The following is a 14,954-nucleotide window of genomic DNA, read 5'->3' as shown; positions in this document are numbered from 1 at the left end:
AATAAAGGTTTTGGAGAGCCAGGAAGGGTTTTAAGCAGCTGCTAAAAATTGTAGTATCTTTAATTACATTCTCCAGAAAACTGAGTATCTTCTCAGTGGTGAGCAATGTAAATGAAGGAATGAGCTGGCCTGGAACAAATTATCATGTATAGTCGCTTGGAAAGGCAAAATGAGAAAGTGGCCCAGGTGGATAAAACTCAGTAGACTTGAAGGGGCAAGAGAACCCAGTTACTCTGGGTGGGAGATGGACATCTAAGAGGAGAAAAACACTTGTTCAGGTTCACAGAGGACCCAGAGATATGGCAGAGGAAACCCTGAAGTAATTATTAATGTAATAATGGAGCTAAGTTGAGCAGTTTTATGTCATAAAGCCTGTTACTCTACCTCCAGTTTTTTCATGGTTTTTAAATTAAAGAAAAATACATTATAAAAATCATCTAAACCCAGATTAGAGTTTAGCTTTTATAGTTCTATCTTATGGTGTCCCTTTTCAATTATTCTTTTCTGATCTTTCTAGTGAACCAAATATTTTGTTGCCATTTATTGGTTGATAGCCAAAGTAGCAACTAAACTGGCCTTCTACTTTAATAACATAAAACTGTGCAGCTTGTTCATTCTTCAACACCACTGTCTTCAAAATATTTGGACAAAGGGTGTTGGTGAGAAGACCTGGCCACTACTCACCAGCTGGGCATTAGAGGTCATAAAAGCTCACAACCTCATTGCTTGCACAAGAGGTGGCCTCTCATGTCTATTTTCCAGAGGAATTCCCTTCTAATAAGGAAGCCAGTTGGTGGTTTGCCTAGTGCCATCTGGAGACCTGGAAGTGTCACAGAAGTTTGTTAGGCCTTTTAGATGTTGACTCTTTGGACTCGTCTACTGAGAGGTGATGACCTTCATGGGGGTGAATGCAGAGAGCTATGGCGTTGGGTTTGACTCCTGGCTTTCAGGCAGAAATGCATGCCATTCAACCCCCTCCCACTCCTTTGCCTATGCGCTGGCCACTTGGCCTTCCTGCCATTTGGTGGCATTTATCCTCTTCAAATTCCTTCCTTCCACCTGCCAGTTTCTAACCAGATCTTGCCCTGTCTGGCTCCATTCTGTATGTTATGTGCCCATTTGATGAAAACAGCATGAGGCAGGGTCAACATTGCATTTCTTTCTAAGAACGAGGACAAAATATGAGTAGCATCCTTCCAATAGTTAACTTTTAGCCCTTTACTTGTGTGAAGGACTTGTTATCCCAGTTGATAGATGAGAAGACAGATGACCATAAGTGCAAGAAATTCAGAGTTTGATGTGAAGCCCAGCTCTGGGCTCCCTGTTGACTATTTTGTCATTGATGTATGTGAAACCATGTGGAAATCCAAAAGGAAAGTTGTCCATTTTTCTGCTTGCAGTTTAAATTGAAAAAAGATTCTACTGGGCATGATGCAAAACATTTCTACACATACACATTTGTGTGTTATAGTTGACAGGGCCATTTTACTTGCATAAAAAGATCTTTGAAAAGCCTCACAGTAATAATACTTTTTATATCTCTAAATCAAAATGGCTCAGTTCTGAGAATTTTTACATTTTAGGTACAAAATAGAAGTGGGTTTCAAATAGCTCTTGATTAGTGTCATTATTTGGGCATATGTTTTTAATTGGCAAAAAAAAAACAGACTTCAGAAATTGGTCATTTTTATTCCATCAAGTTAACGGTGAGTGGCTTATTTAATAAAAACATGTCTGTAATTTAACACAAGTAGCACGTACAGCTGTTCATTTGTGTCTTTTTGACTGTGTGAAGCATCTTAGACGGTTTTACTGAAAGATAGGGTCACCGAGAGGGGAAATCTGTGGACTTAAATCTTTTTTCATTACCTATCGCCGGCCACTAGGTTAGGTTAGTTGCCGCCAGCAAGCGCCCTTCATGGCTCGACTAGGGAATGTGGAGAGAGCTGAGAGAATCGAAATCCTCGATTTTTTTTTCTTTGCTGAGAGGGACCTGAGAGACATTCACTCATCCCTGCAAAGAAGCAGCTGCCCGAATGCACATAGCCAGTTGGTAGTGACATGAATCCGTACACAGGGCTCCTGGTCCAGCGCTCCGAGTTCTAACCACTCTGGCCACGTGTGCATCGGGGAGTTGTAAAGTGAGTTATGGAAATAAAACAAGGCGAGAAGCCCAGTCCCGATCTTCAGGAGCAGCATTCTCGGGAGCCAGAGGCCGAGGTGGCGCCCCGGGCAGGCGCCTTAGGCTGGGTGGGTGCGGAGCTGGCCCCGGCCTTTGGCTCCAGCATCTTCACCTCGCTCGCCTGCCTCCGAAGTTGCGAAGGTGCCGGGAAGAGGAGGGGCCTCGCCTCGGGCGCCCGAGTGATTGGCTGCTTAGGGCCCCGGGCGAAGGCTGTGTGGTCCAGCCCTGGTGGAGAGGGGCGGAGCGGCCACTGCTCCAACCACCGCCGCCACCGCCACACTCGCAGCCGCCGCAGCCTCGGCCGCCGGGCAAGTAGCTCCGAGCGGCTGCTTCCCGGTTGCCTCGACGAAGACAGGGGGCGCCGCGCTCCGCTTGCTCCGCGCCTGAGCCATGCCCAGCAGCCCTGTGTAACCACCGAGTCCCGGCCGGAGCCGACCGACCCAGTGTGCGCCGTCTTTCGGCCGAGCTGAGCTTTCGTGCACGCAACTCCCTCTGCCCCAGCCGGCCCCGCGCCACCATGCCCCGGGCGACTGCACTTGGGGCCCTGGTGTCACTGCTGCTGCTGCTGCCGCTGCCTCGCGGCGCCGGGGGACTCGGGGAGCGCCCGGACGCCACCGCAGACTACTCAGAGCTGGACGGCGAGGAGGGCACGGAGCAGCAGCTGGAGCATTACCACGACCCTTGCAAAGCCGGTAGGTGCCGCCGCTGGGGAAGTCCCGCAGAAGTTTGCCTTTGAAATGCAAATGAGGTGGTGGGCAAGCCTGCACTACCGTCTATGGGGCGGGTCTCCCCTCCCCTCCCCTGAGATCCCCGGCTCCCCCGGAAGACAATGCCTCCGAGGAATTGCTTAAAAACCACTCCGAGGCTGGGATGTCCCGGCCCCAGGTTTGCGGTGCGCACCGGGGGGCGACAGCTGGCGCGTTCCCAAAGCGAATCAGAGCGGGTGCCAGAGGCCGAGAGGGCGCCCAGGGGCCGGGGTGGGTGCCAGGGCCGCCTGACAGCGAGTGGGCAGCACTGGCCACCGCCAGACGCTCCGGGCCGGAGCAGAAGAGCTGGACTGGGCGCGGCGCTCCGAGGCTCAGATGGAGTTCCTGGCTCCGATTTCACAGCATTTTTAAGTTTCGCGCAAAGTTTCCCAAGATCTGTGGTTACTCTTGGGAGATTTTAAAAAGAAAAGCGTCACAGCGGGCAAAAGGAAAGGGGTCGCCGAGGGAGAATGAGCAAGACTCGAATAGCCGGAAACTTCCCTGTAGCGGTACCGGCCTGAGGGTCGCTCTGGGCGGGCGGAGATGGAAGCCGGCAGGTGCTCTAATCCCTCCAGGAAGCGGCGCCCCAGGACGTACGGGCCTTTCGGGCGCAATCGCCGCCCGGGCGCTGCAGCTCCCGCTTCCTCGGGGCCACTGATCGGCTCGTGAGTCCTGAGGGGAGCGGCTTCCGAGCTGGAGTCGTTGAAGCGTTAGCCTCCGAAGGGCCAAGCGCATGTTCCAGCAAGCTGATGAGTGTGGGGCAGTTCCAGCACGGACAGAGGGGTGCTCACGCTCACGCTCCCAGGGAGATGCTGGGCTCAGAGGCTCGCACAGACGCTCCTGGCCCATGGCCAGTGTCCCGCGAGTAGTGGTGTTTATCTCCGGCTTTGTGGGGCCCCGTTTCACTTGGCGGTCGGCAGAGAAGAATGGGGAGGGAAGAGCGCGACCTCCACCCTCGGCGAGGCAGGTGCTCCTTCCCGGGGCTGTGGCCGGCCAGGTCTCTGCGGGGCCTGTGGGCCAGTGGTTGCCCCTTCACGCCCTGGAAACCTCTATCAGTTCCAGGTTACTCATCTCTAAATTGGTGGCAGTAATTATAGGAGGACTCAGGTGATTTGTGGGAAAATTCTCTGCAAGTGAAATGATGGCATTGTCGTTATTTTTTATTGTTTCTATCACTGCAGTGGCTCGGGTCTAGGCTGGGGGTTGGGAGGGTCAGAACTGGGTAAAGTCTGGGGAAGACCAGGTTACTAGGAGGCAGGAGGAGTTTGTGAGACTTGAGAATCTTGTGAAGGTTTGAGATCAAACTAGTCTTGAGGGGCCTGGTCTTAGTAAGGGAAGTTTCCTGCAGAATATCTACCTACTGCTGTATCTCTTGGGGCTTCTGAGTTAGGAAGGTGGGCAGAGGAGTTGGTTCCTGGACAACTGGAGAAAACCTCAGCAGGTAGCATGCCTGGCCCAGGTACCATGAGTTCCTTATGGGACCTAATTCAAGGCCAGGGAGAAGAGGCTCCAGAGCACTATTGGAATGGCAGCCTGGCCCTGAAAAGAGGGCCACTGAAGCTGGGAAAATAGGTGTGGGATAAAGGGAGTGGCTGGACCACCTCCCCCACTTGTCAGATCCTAGACCCTGCTGGGTGTGACCTGGGGACTCTGGGAGGCAGTGTGGGCCGCTGAGGCCCGGAGTGGGGAAGTGATTGATTTGCTCAGGAATGTATTGTGCATCTCCAGTATGCTGGGTGCTGGTCTGGGCACTTGTGAATCCAGATGTGAAAGAGGCATGCCAGCTCCCCGTCTCAGCCTTGGAGGATAACCCTGAGGCAGGCTTGCCTGTTACAGCCTCATTTTCCCCAGTAATTTTAGAGAAAATGCAAGATAATCAGGGGCACGCATATTCTGTGATTCTTCACAGACAGAATGGGATGCACAGGCAGGGCTGGAAGGCAGAGGATATGGCCAGTGTGGCTTCAGCCAGCTGCAGGCACCCTCCTCAGACTCCTTGAATTCTCCCAACTCATTGGCCTCTCCCTGGGCTACACTGATGCTAAGAGTGGCCAGAAGAGGGCGATGATAAGGACAACCTGGGGGAAAAGGTAACATCTCAGTCCGCCCATCCTCTTGGAAATTGCCTGACCTGGAGAACAGCTGTCTGGAAGGCCAGCAAGCAGTTCATCAGTGTACTGAAGTCTCAGAGAAAGGACTTGCCTCTTGGCTAGCGGGACACTGCATTTCCTGGTTGCATATTTAAGGCAAACCTTTAGGGGCAGCCTCCCATTCTATCTCAGTGAAATCCTAACTCCCTGACTCTTCTGGCCAGAAGCTCTCCTTTTAGGACCTGCCTCAGGGCTGCAAAGCTAAAACACCTCCCACTGTCCCTTCTTGGTGTGGGTCTCCATTCCTACTGTGGACTCAGAATGCAGAGGGGAGGGTCTTGAATCTGTTCCTGGCTTTTCAGGATCTGTGTTACCGGGACGACTCCCCTCCTCTCTGGGCCTCAGTTCCTTACCTGCAGAATGAAAATGTCTGCCTTGTTAGAATTACAAAGTGACATGTCCAGAGAGCTTGTGCTCTTGGTCCTCATCAACCGTCTTGCCCTGGGCCTACTTCATACCTTGCAAGCACTTCAGTGTGAGCCCCCTGGCTGCTTCCTATCCAGTGTTCTATGAGTCTATGATCTTTGGTTCTAGCCCAACCTCTTAGAAGCTGAACAAACTGGTAATTTTACCATTTCTAATTTTACCATTTCACTACTTTTGCAATTTTTAATACCATTTTTACCATTTACTCTGCCACTTACAAGCTGTGTATCCTTGGGCAAATCACTTGATTTCTCTGGGCATTAGCTTCCTCATTTGTAAATGGGGATGATTCCTGATAAAGTACTTAGAACAGTGCTTGAAATATAGTTAGATACTTTTTATAAATGGATTTTCTAGAAACTGATGGAAAGAATATCTTCATGCTGACCTTAAAGCAGGTTTTAAGCTGGAAAATTTAAATTTGCTAATAGACAATCTATTTGATGCTGTAAAAAGGGATGACTTTTAAATCAAGTGACGGGGGAGTGGAAGTTAGTCTGTGAAGCCCTCCTGGCCTGGGGCTGGTGAGGGGCATGGGGCTTCTGGGGGGTGTTCTCTGTCTGGTCATCCATAGCTCTGCCAGTTGTTTTTCTTCTGATGCTGTCAATACAGCTAAGGGTTCAACTGGCAGTAAATCACAAGGCATTCTTCCAACCACCATGCCTCTGACAGCAAAGCTTGGGAGGACTGTTCCTGCCTGCCTGCCTATCCTCACCCACAAGTTTTAAGCTGATTTCAAGTCAGAAGGCCTAGGTTCTTATCTTGACCCTGCCCCGCCTTACTCACCGTGTGGCCTTGAGCAAGTCATTTTACCTTTCCATGTCTCAGTCTGCTCATCTACAAAATGGGAGTGGGAGCAAAAATGCTTGCCTTGCAGGGTAGACAAAAGGCCAGTTTTATTTACTTATTTATTTATTTATTTATTTACTTTTTTGAGACGGAGTCTCGCTCTGTCGCCCAGGCTGGAGTGCAGTGGCCTGATCTCGGCTCACTGCAAGCTCCGCCTCCCGGGTTCACGCCATTCTCCTGCCTCAGCCTCCCGAGTAGCTGGGACTACAGGCGCCTGCCACTATGCCCAGCTATTTTTTTGTATTTTTAGTAGAGACGGGGTTTCACCGTGTTATCCTGGATGATCTCAATCTCCTGACCTCGTGATCTGCCCGCCTCGGCCTCCCAAAGTGCTGGGATTACAGGCGTGAGCCACCGTGCCCGGCCAAGGCCAGTTTTAGTTGGATTCTTCAGAAAGAAGAGCCTTACACAAGGACTTTGGTGTAGATAGTTCATGTGGAAGGTGATCCCAGGAAGCAGGGTTAAGGGAGCAGGAGGAATGAGACAGGGAGGAAGGAAATCCAATGAAGGGAGTGGAATCAAGGTAGCTGCTTTAGGCAATGGGCCCCTGACCCCACTGGGAGCGCCTTTGAGGAGCTTACAGAATGCCTCCCAAATTATCTGCCCAGAGAATAGGAGGCTGCAGCATTTATCCAAAGCCTGCTGCCCTTCACTGTCTGCTCCTTGCTCTAGTTTCTATTCCTCTGTAAGAAAGCATTCCAGACCAGTGGGGTAGAACAACCTCTGTTTTATTATGTTCATGATTCTGTTGATTAGGAATGTAGAAAAGACACAGCAGGGGAGGCTTGTCTTTGTTCCATGATGGCTAAGCCTCAGCTAGGAAGACTTACAGGCTGGGGTGACTCAACAAGTGGGTTCTGAAGTTATCTGAAGGCTCATTCGCTCATGTGTCTGGCTGTTGAGGCTGTCTGTTGCCTGGGACCTGTTGGCCAGAACACTTATAGGTGGCTTCTCCATGTGGTCTCTCTATGTGGGTGTCCTCGAAGCATGGCAGCTGGATTCTAAGTGCAAGCATCCCAAGAGAACCAAATGGAAACTGTGTGACCTTTGATGGCTTTGCCTCAGAGTCACACATTATCACTTCCATCACGGCCACAAGCCCTCCCAGATTCAAGGTGGGAGAGCACAGACCCACCTCTCCAGTGGGAGGCATGTCAATATCATGTTGTTAAAAGGGCACATGAAATGAGAGATGTCATTGCGGCCAGTTTTGGAAAAGATGACTTGCCACATTCCCCGAGGCATTAACTTCCCTGAATATCCAGGAATAGAGGGCTCTACAGATTTAGAAAAAGTTCTCAAGCAGAAAGGTGGGGAGACATGTGGCAGAGGCATGGAACTGCCCAGAGGTGAGCTGAGGGTATGTGACTCAAAAATTGTCTACATGAGGCTCAAATGATATGAAAATGCTGTATAGCATTTTGGGTTTATTAAATCTAAGGGAACTGCCTGATAGCCAGCTTCACTTTTCAGTGGATGGCTTGGTAAATACCAGGGCCTTCTTCACAGCTGTGGGTCCCATGTTAGGATAGGATAAATATAGCTGGTGGTCCCTCTTGTCTTATGGCTCAGGAACCAGTAGTGAGGGTAAGCCCACACTTCAGACTTTACTTCTGCCTGGAATTTGGTGTTTCACCTCACTCTGCCATTCTCTCCAAGACATCCTACCAATCAGGTTTCATTTTGGGGCTCACCAAGAGCCCTCTCTGGGGCAGCTGTTGCCAGCAGCCCTCATGTTACTGTCAGCCTAGAAACTGAAGCAGCTCTGGGCCAGTGTGCCAGGGACTCCTAAAAGTGCCCAGAGTGGCATTGGGAAGATTGTAGAGACCTGGGCAGTGCTCCTCTGGAGTCGCCAACCTTCATGGCAGGGCGGGCATCCTGGTTTTTAAGCAGAGATGAGGCTCACATGGTGCCTCCTGGAAGCTTGTCTCCCTGGCATGACCCATCCCCAGAATGTGAGCTGCCATCTCTCTGGTACTCCACCTGCCCATCAGACTCCCACACCATGGGCCACACCTAGGTAAGGGTGGCTGATATTTTTACATCTTTATTTCCATTCTAACTTGTTATGATGTCCTTGCTGATGGGCAGGTGCTGATTTGATGGAATTAAAATATTTCAGGGCAATATTGGAGTTAAATGTTTGTCTTTTTTGTTTCTCCAGATGATACAGGTGCAGAATCTAGTCCACCTTCTCTACACAATTTCACACACCAGCATGCAATGGGGCAGGGTGTGAGCCAGTTAAGAGCACAGGCTCTGATGCAGGCCAGACCTAGATTCCAAATCTGCCACCTAGGCAAGCCTGTGTGACCTTGAGTATGTTACTCAACTTCCCTGAGCCTCAGGGAAAAAAAGAACTAGTAATATCCACTTTTCAGGATTGCTATAAGGATTAAATAATACAATGTTTGTCAAGTGCTGAGCACAGTATCTGGCACAAGGCAAGTATATAATGATATATACATTATCAGAGTACAGAGCAGGTGCTCACAGCACTTCTTGAACTCTTTTGTTGAAATGCTGTAGAGGAAATTGAATTTTTGCAATAAATGAGTAATTTATTTCATCTAGTATAGTTAGGGTTAGAGATTCTTAATTTCAGACCTGATCATTGTGGTTAAACAGAGTCTCAAAAGTAGTGAAGGGTGAATTTTATGGCATGTGAGTTATATCTCAATAAAGATTTTAAGTAAATGCAGATGAGGGCAGGGCCAGGGGCAGAGCTGGGGGGAGGCAGCTCATGGCCTTAGCCCCTGAGGAACAGTTGGCTGGCTGGCACAGCTGCTCGAGCTGAGAATTCAGCTCAGCCAAGCAGGTGTGGAGTGTGTGGCCATCCAATGCCAAGCAGAGCCTAGAGTTCTCAATAGTGGCCAGGTCTCACACTGGGGTGCCAGAGTCTGGGAAAGGGGGGACCAGGAAGGAAGACGTATCAGGCCCCTCTTGGAGGGGGCTGCTCTGGGAGCTGAATGACAGCAAGAACACCACCCACTGACCCTCAGCACAGCCCCCAGAGCAGACAAGCAGCTGCAATGGCTGCCATTTTGTATATGAGGAAACTGAGCTTCAGGCCTAGATTTTCTCCCTGACCTTGCTCATCCTTTGATGCCTCTGTGGACAGAGCCCATATTTGGTAGACAGAAAAGTCCACAACAACATAATCAAAGGTAGGTCTCCAAGTCTTACATCAGTGGAACTTGTTTTTTCCTTTTCTCTCCCGCCCAGTAGTGTAGTGATCAGTGCAGCACACCCTTCCCTCAGGGTGGCATGTGTGTTGGGAGAGCATCCTTTCCTCTGCTGTCCCACACAGCGAGAGGAGAGGAGTGGGGACAGGCATGATGCCACCGAGCCATCCACACAGCCCCAGATATGCAGTGCACCTGGCATGTGGGCCTGGCATGGGTGCTGAGGGTCTAAGTGCTGGTTAGACTCAACCCTGCCCTTGGGGAGCCTCCTACCCAGTGCTAGGCTCAGCCTGCTCAGCAGAAGAGGCTCCTAGATGGAAGCTGATTATAGACAGGTCAGCAGGGCATCTCATGCAGCAGCACCTCAGCTCTGGCCATCCAGCTGACCACTGGTTCTCCAGCCATTCTCAGGGCACTCCCCAGCCTGGACTATGGTTATTTGAGCACCTGGCCCCTCCCCAGACTGTGGAGAACAAAGACCTTGCTGACATGTTGTGGTTCTGTACCCATGCTTTGGAATTGGGCTGACTTAGGTTTTTCTTCTCAGCTTTGTCACTTTCCTTTTTTCTTTTTTTTTTTTCTTTTTTTTTTTTTTGAGATGGGGTCTCGCTCTGTCATCCAGGCCTGAGTGCAGTGGCACGATCTCAGCTCGCTACAACCTCCACTTCCCGGATTCAATTGATTGTCCTGCCTCAGCCTCCTGAGTAGCTGGGATTACAGACGCCCGCCACCATGCCTGGCTAATTTTTGTATTTTTAGTAGAGACAGGGTTTCCCCAGGTTGGCTAGGCTGGTCTCAAACTCCTGACTTCATGATCCACCCGCCTCAGCCTCCCAAAGTGTTAGGATTACAGGCACAAGCCACCGCGCCCAGCCTCAGCTCTGTCACTTTCTAACGGTGAGACCTGGAGCAAGTCCCTCAGCCTTCAAAGCCTCAGTGTCCGTTTGTGTATCATGCCGTTAATAGAAACTCTGATTAACAGGCTTGTATATGAAGGCACTTGGTACCATGCCTAGAAAACAGAAGCACTCAATAAATATGAAATATACAGTGCTAGAGTTATGTGGCCCTTGAAGAACTTGTTATGCCCCAACAAGTGTGTGGAGTGAACTGAATTGTATGAACAGCACTGCTTTCCATACTTCTGAGACAGCCTGTGGGCAAAGCAGCAGGTGCTAGAGGCAAATTTCCTGGGTTCAAATACTGGCTCTACCACTCCACGGCTGTAGGCAAACCTGCCTAGGCTTGCTGGGACACTGTCCTTATCTATGAATGTGGTTACTAATATCTACCCACATAGGGTTATTATGAGGATTTAGTGATTAATACAGAGAAAGCACTTAGAATCATGTCTGAACATGGTAAGCATCCAGTAAATACTATTTTTAAAATTATTGTCATCCCACAGAAATCCAGCAAGGTTTCCAAGTGGCAGGAAACTAAATATCTGAACAACCAAAGTGATCTGGCTTTGTGTCCCCACCTAAACCTCATCTGGAATTGTAATCCCCACGTGTCAAGGGAGAGACCTGGTGGGAGGTGATTGGATCATGGGGGTGGTTTCCTTCATGCTGTTCTCGTGATGGTGAGCGAGTTCTCACAAGACCTGATGGTTTAAAAGTGGCTGTTTCCTCTGTGCATTCTCTCTCTCCTGTTCCCATGTAGGATGTGCCTGCTTCCCCTTTACCTTCCACCATGATTGTAAGTTTCCTGAGGCTTCTCCATCAGACTCCATGCAGAACTGCGAGTCAATTAAGCCTCTTTTGCTTATAAATTACCCAGTCGCAGGTAGTATCTTTTATTTATTTATTTATTTATTTATTTATTTTTTATTTTTTTGAGACGGAGTCTCGCTCTGTCGCCCAGGCTGGAGTGCAGCGGTGCGATCTCGGCTCACTGAACGCTCTGCCTCCCAGGTTCACGCCATTCTCCTGCCTCAGCCTCCCGAGTAGCTGGCGCTACAGGCGCCCGCCACCACGCCTGGCTAATTTTTTGTATTTTTAGTAGAGATGACACGGTGAAACGTGTTAGCCAGGATGGTCTCAATCTCCTGACCTCGTGATCTGCTCACTTCGGCCTCCCAAAGTGCTGGGATTACAGGTGTGAGCCACTGCTCCTGGCCCTCAGGCAGTATCTTTACAGTAGTGTGAGAATGGACTAATACTCAAAGCCTGGTGATTTTTAAGGGATTTATGGGATTTTAAGGGATTTGTGTTTTCTAATGGTGCCAATTCTGATAGCTCATCTATACTCAGAGACTTTTTGTGTGTGTGCAGTGGTGGGATCCCAGCTCACTGCAACCTCTGCCTCCTGGGTTCAAGTGATTCCTGTGCCTCAGCCTCCTGAGTAGCTGGGATTATAGGCAGGCACCACCACATCAGGGTAATTTTTGTATTTTTAGTAGAGATGGAGTTTCGCCATATCAGCCAGGCTGGTTTTGAACTCCTGGCCTCAAGTGATCTGCCCACCTCAGCCACCCAAAGTGCTGTGATTACAGGCCTGAGCTACCATGCCCAGCTATACCCAGAGACTTTGACCTAAAACTTAAATCTTCCATGAATCTCAGTGGCCTCACTGAGGATGGCATTAGGCTAAGGCATTTGGTTCCCTGCAAGCCAACCAGATGTCTGAGCCCTACCGAAGAAACCAGCCCCTGGCTATTTGGAGACATATAAGTGGCTTTGGGCCTGAGCCTCCATTCAGCTGGTGGCTTCTCCCAACCCCTAGGAGTTGATGGGAGCACTCGCAGGAGATGGCCTGGGCTCACATGATCTCAGGGGCATTACAGGCCATGGTCAGGTTGCTTGCATAGGGGAGAGCCTGGGCTAAGACCTGCACACGACATTGAGACCTCTAATCCCTGTTTTCCCCTCTACGCCATGTGACCTCTTCAACCCTGGGGCCTCCAGCTTTGCCTGGCTGCCTCCACCCCCAGTGAACGAGCTTCTCCATGCTGCCCAGTCTGAAGGTCACATTTGTGTATATGTTCCCTGAGCACCAAAGCCCATGACCGTCTCCCTATCTTTTTCTTTATCCTTGTCTAGGAATCTGACAAGGACGAGAGAATTCTGGCTTTCCAAGTACTCTGTCCTAAAGCATAGGGAAGAATAAATGAATAATACCAGGTGTCAAAATGCACCTGTCCCCGTCTCTGTTCCTCTACCCCTCTTCCAGAAGGCCCAGGGTCAGTGCATGGGTATCAGGTCAGTTGAGGGTGATGGGTCCAACCACTCTCCTCACCTCCACAGGGAGAAGACTTCGATGGCCAATCTTTCCCAAGGAGGCTTGGCTGATAAAGAGCAGAAGCAGTGAGCATCCTGTTGTAGAGATTCTTTTTGGTATCACGCAGCCCATGGCTTTAAACCTGCCTCTGCCCCCCTTATTTCCTGTGTAGTTTTGACCAAGTCTCTTAATCTCTTTGAGCCTCAGTTTCCTCATTTGGAAAATAACGATATTGAAACCCATCATATAATCTTGTTTGAGGATTAAATGAGGCAGTGAACACGAAGTGTTTAGCAAGCAGTCATTAACTGCTGGCTCTTCTGCTTGCTATTATTATTATTACTCATAGTATTATTCCCTATTTTAGAATTTCCTTATAAGTAACAACCTCACTGGCCTGTGAATGCTAATCTCTCCCTCTCAGGGCTGCTAAGAGTTCTCCTGGGATACATAGCATGTGGCAAGTGATAATTTATTGCTCCACAGCTCACTTGCTCTCACCCATGAAGCAGGGAGAGGATGACACATAAACCAAATGTGTAGAAGCAGGTTTCTCATGGTACCCTCTCAGCCTGCTCATAATACGGTTCTGCCTGGATGCAAACATAGCAACAGGAACAGAGCTTTCCTGCTGATTGGTTACAGACCTATCTGTGATCACGCCACCTCTAACCACTTCTGCCAATTACCAATAAATATTCTCAAGCTCGCCCGCATGAGCACTTGAGTGGAGATGTTCAGCCCTGAGTCTTTGCCTGCTCTGCCAGCTGGGCCACTTATCTTCTGTCTCATCCTGCAATTTGCACCCAGCCTCTTTCCCTGCCTCCCACCCAGGTTACTGGCCTGGAGTCGATGTGAGTCCTGTAAGCTGGCTTCCCACAGCAACAGCCTCAAGCTACCTTCCTTCTTAACTCTTTTTCAGGTCGCAGGGTCGCCTCTCCTCCCTGTGGAGTCAGGGCTGGTTTCCTGTCCTGTCCTCCTTGGCTCACTAAGGACTGGGCCTCATGGGTGCAGATACCACACTGGTACCAGAGTCCACCCAGGTCCCTAAACCAGAAACCCAGTTGCTACCTGGACACCTGACTTCCCTCTTCTTCTCACCCCGCCCAACACAAGTGCTGTCAATTCTGTTTCCAAATTGAGCCCGTCCACTTCTCTCCATCCCCACTGCCACTGGTCCAAGCTCACACCTGGGCTGCTGCAGTAGTGGCTGAACTGGCCTCCTTGACGCTACTCTTGCCTCCCAAAATCTGTTTTCCACATTGCAGAGTGATCTTTCTCAAACTCATGTGTGATCACGTTTGCAAGATCAGACCTGCTTAGGATCCTTTAATGTCACCCCATTGCACTTGGGATAAGAGCAATCAGCAGGCCCCGGGGTGCTCTGGTCATTGCTTGTCCCTATGACTCAGCCTCCCTCCCCTTACCTGCCAGGTTCCAGCTCACATCGGTTCTTCTTCCTGCCTGGAAATGTCTCTGGACTCTATGTGTGGTCAACTCTGACTCATCCTCCAGGACTCAGCTTACATGTCATTTCCCCCATGAGGCCTTCCCAGTCCCCAGTCTCAATCAGGTCCCCTTTCAAGTTTCTCATCGCCTTTGTTTTTCTGAAAAGCACTCTTTACAATCTGTAACTGGGTCTATTACTGATGTGAGTATTATTGTTCAATGACTGTCTCTGCATTGGACAATGAGCTCCAAGGAGTATAAACGAGACTGATTTTGCTTCACAGTCAGGAGCATAGTGCCAGCACATGGTGGGTGCCCAACCGGTATTTGTCAAATGGAAAACTCAGTCAATGAGATACCAGAGGGATTCAGAAAGGGTAGCAGTCAACTCAAGGAAGACTTCCTGGTGAGGGAGTTGGTAAGCTCTGAGGCGGGTCTGGAAGGATGCCTTGGATTTGCAGATGCTGGGATGCAAGAGAAGGTATTTCAGGTAGAATGAACAGTGTCAGCAAAGGTGAGGAATGTTTGTGATGTGTCTGGAGTTGGAGATTTACTCTGGTTTACTTTGCAGAATGGTAATGACAGGATTGAAATAAGCTTGGAACAGTGGAAGTCAAGCTGAAACATTTGAAACATATCCCTAAGGAAATGGGGAGCTATTGATAGTTTCTCAGCAGAGGACTGTTACAGTGAAGACCTGTGATGCTTAGGATCTGTAGAAGCAGGAAGCAGGAGGACCTCTCAG

The 14,954-nt window shown here is 49.8% G+C and overlaps 1 protein-coding gene across 1 annotated transcript in view, besides 4 other annotated features; it reads left to right on the top strand.

The window, feature by feature from the left end:
* The first annotated feature begins 2,458 nt into the window (after window positions 1-2,458).
* The window catches only part of TLL2 (tolloid like 2), a 149,319-nt gene continuing 136,823 nt past the window's right edge, over window positions 2,459-14,954 (top strand). The window contains exon 1 of the mRNA NM_012465.4: window positions 2,459-2,874. Coding sequence (NP_036597.1) covers window positions 2,700-2,874 — 175 coding nt within the window. The 5' untranslated portion in view covers window positions 2,459-2,699. The remainder of the gene's footprint in view (window positions 2,875-14,954) is intronic.
* Window positions 2,609-2,678: an enhancer, noted in NCBI's record as "active region_3827". NCBI's record gives its function as "activates an Ori minimal core promoter by ATAC-STARR-seq in GM12878 lymphoblastoid cells {active_cell/tissue: GM12878}" and the evidence as "EXISTENCE:reporter gene assay evidence [ECO:0000049][PMID:35858748]".
* Window positions 3,868-4,387: an enhancer, noted in NCBI's record as "H3K4me1 hESC enhancer chr10:98271755-98272274 (GRCh37/hg19 assembly coordinates)". NCBI's record gives its function as "activates a minimal SCP1, AML or CMV promoter by ChIP-STARR-seq in naive H9 embryonic stem cells {active_cell/tissue: H9 hESC(naive)}" and the evidence as "EXISTENCE:reporter gene assay evidence [ECO:0000049][PMID:30033119]".
* Window positions 9,502-10,285: an enhancer, noted in NCBI's record as "H3K4me1 hESC enhancer chr10:98265857-98266640 (GRCh37/hg19 assembly coordinates)". NCBI's record gives its function as "activates a minimal SCP1, AML or CMV promoter by ChIP-STARR-seq in primed H9 embryonic stem cells {active_cell/tissue: H9 hESC(primed)}" and the evidence as "EXISTENCE:reporter gene assay evidence [ECO:0000049][PMID:30033119]".
* Window positions 13,157-13,657: an enhancer, noted in NCBI's record as "H3K27ac hESC enhancer chr10:98262485-98262985 (GRCh37/hg19 assembly coordinates)". NCBI's record gives its function as "activates a minimal SCP1, AML or CMV promoter by ChIP-STARR-seq in naive H9 embryonic stem cells {active_cell/tissue: H9 hESC(naive)}" and the evidence as "EXISTENCE:reporter gene assay evidence [ECO:0000049][PMID:30033119]".

Source organism: Homo sapiens, chromosome 10, assembly GCF_000001405.40.
Source record: "Homo sapiens chromosome 10, GRCh38.p14 Primary Assembly".
Lineage (NCBI taxonomy): Eukaryota > Metazoa > Chordata > Mammalia > Primates > Hominidae > Homo > Homo sapiens.
Note: the sequence above shows the minus strand (reverse complement) of the source record. Positions and strands in the feature narration are given on the sequence as shown.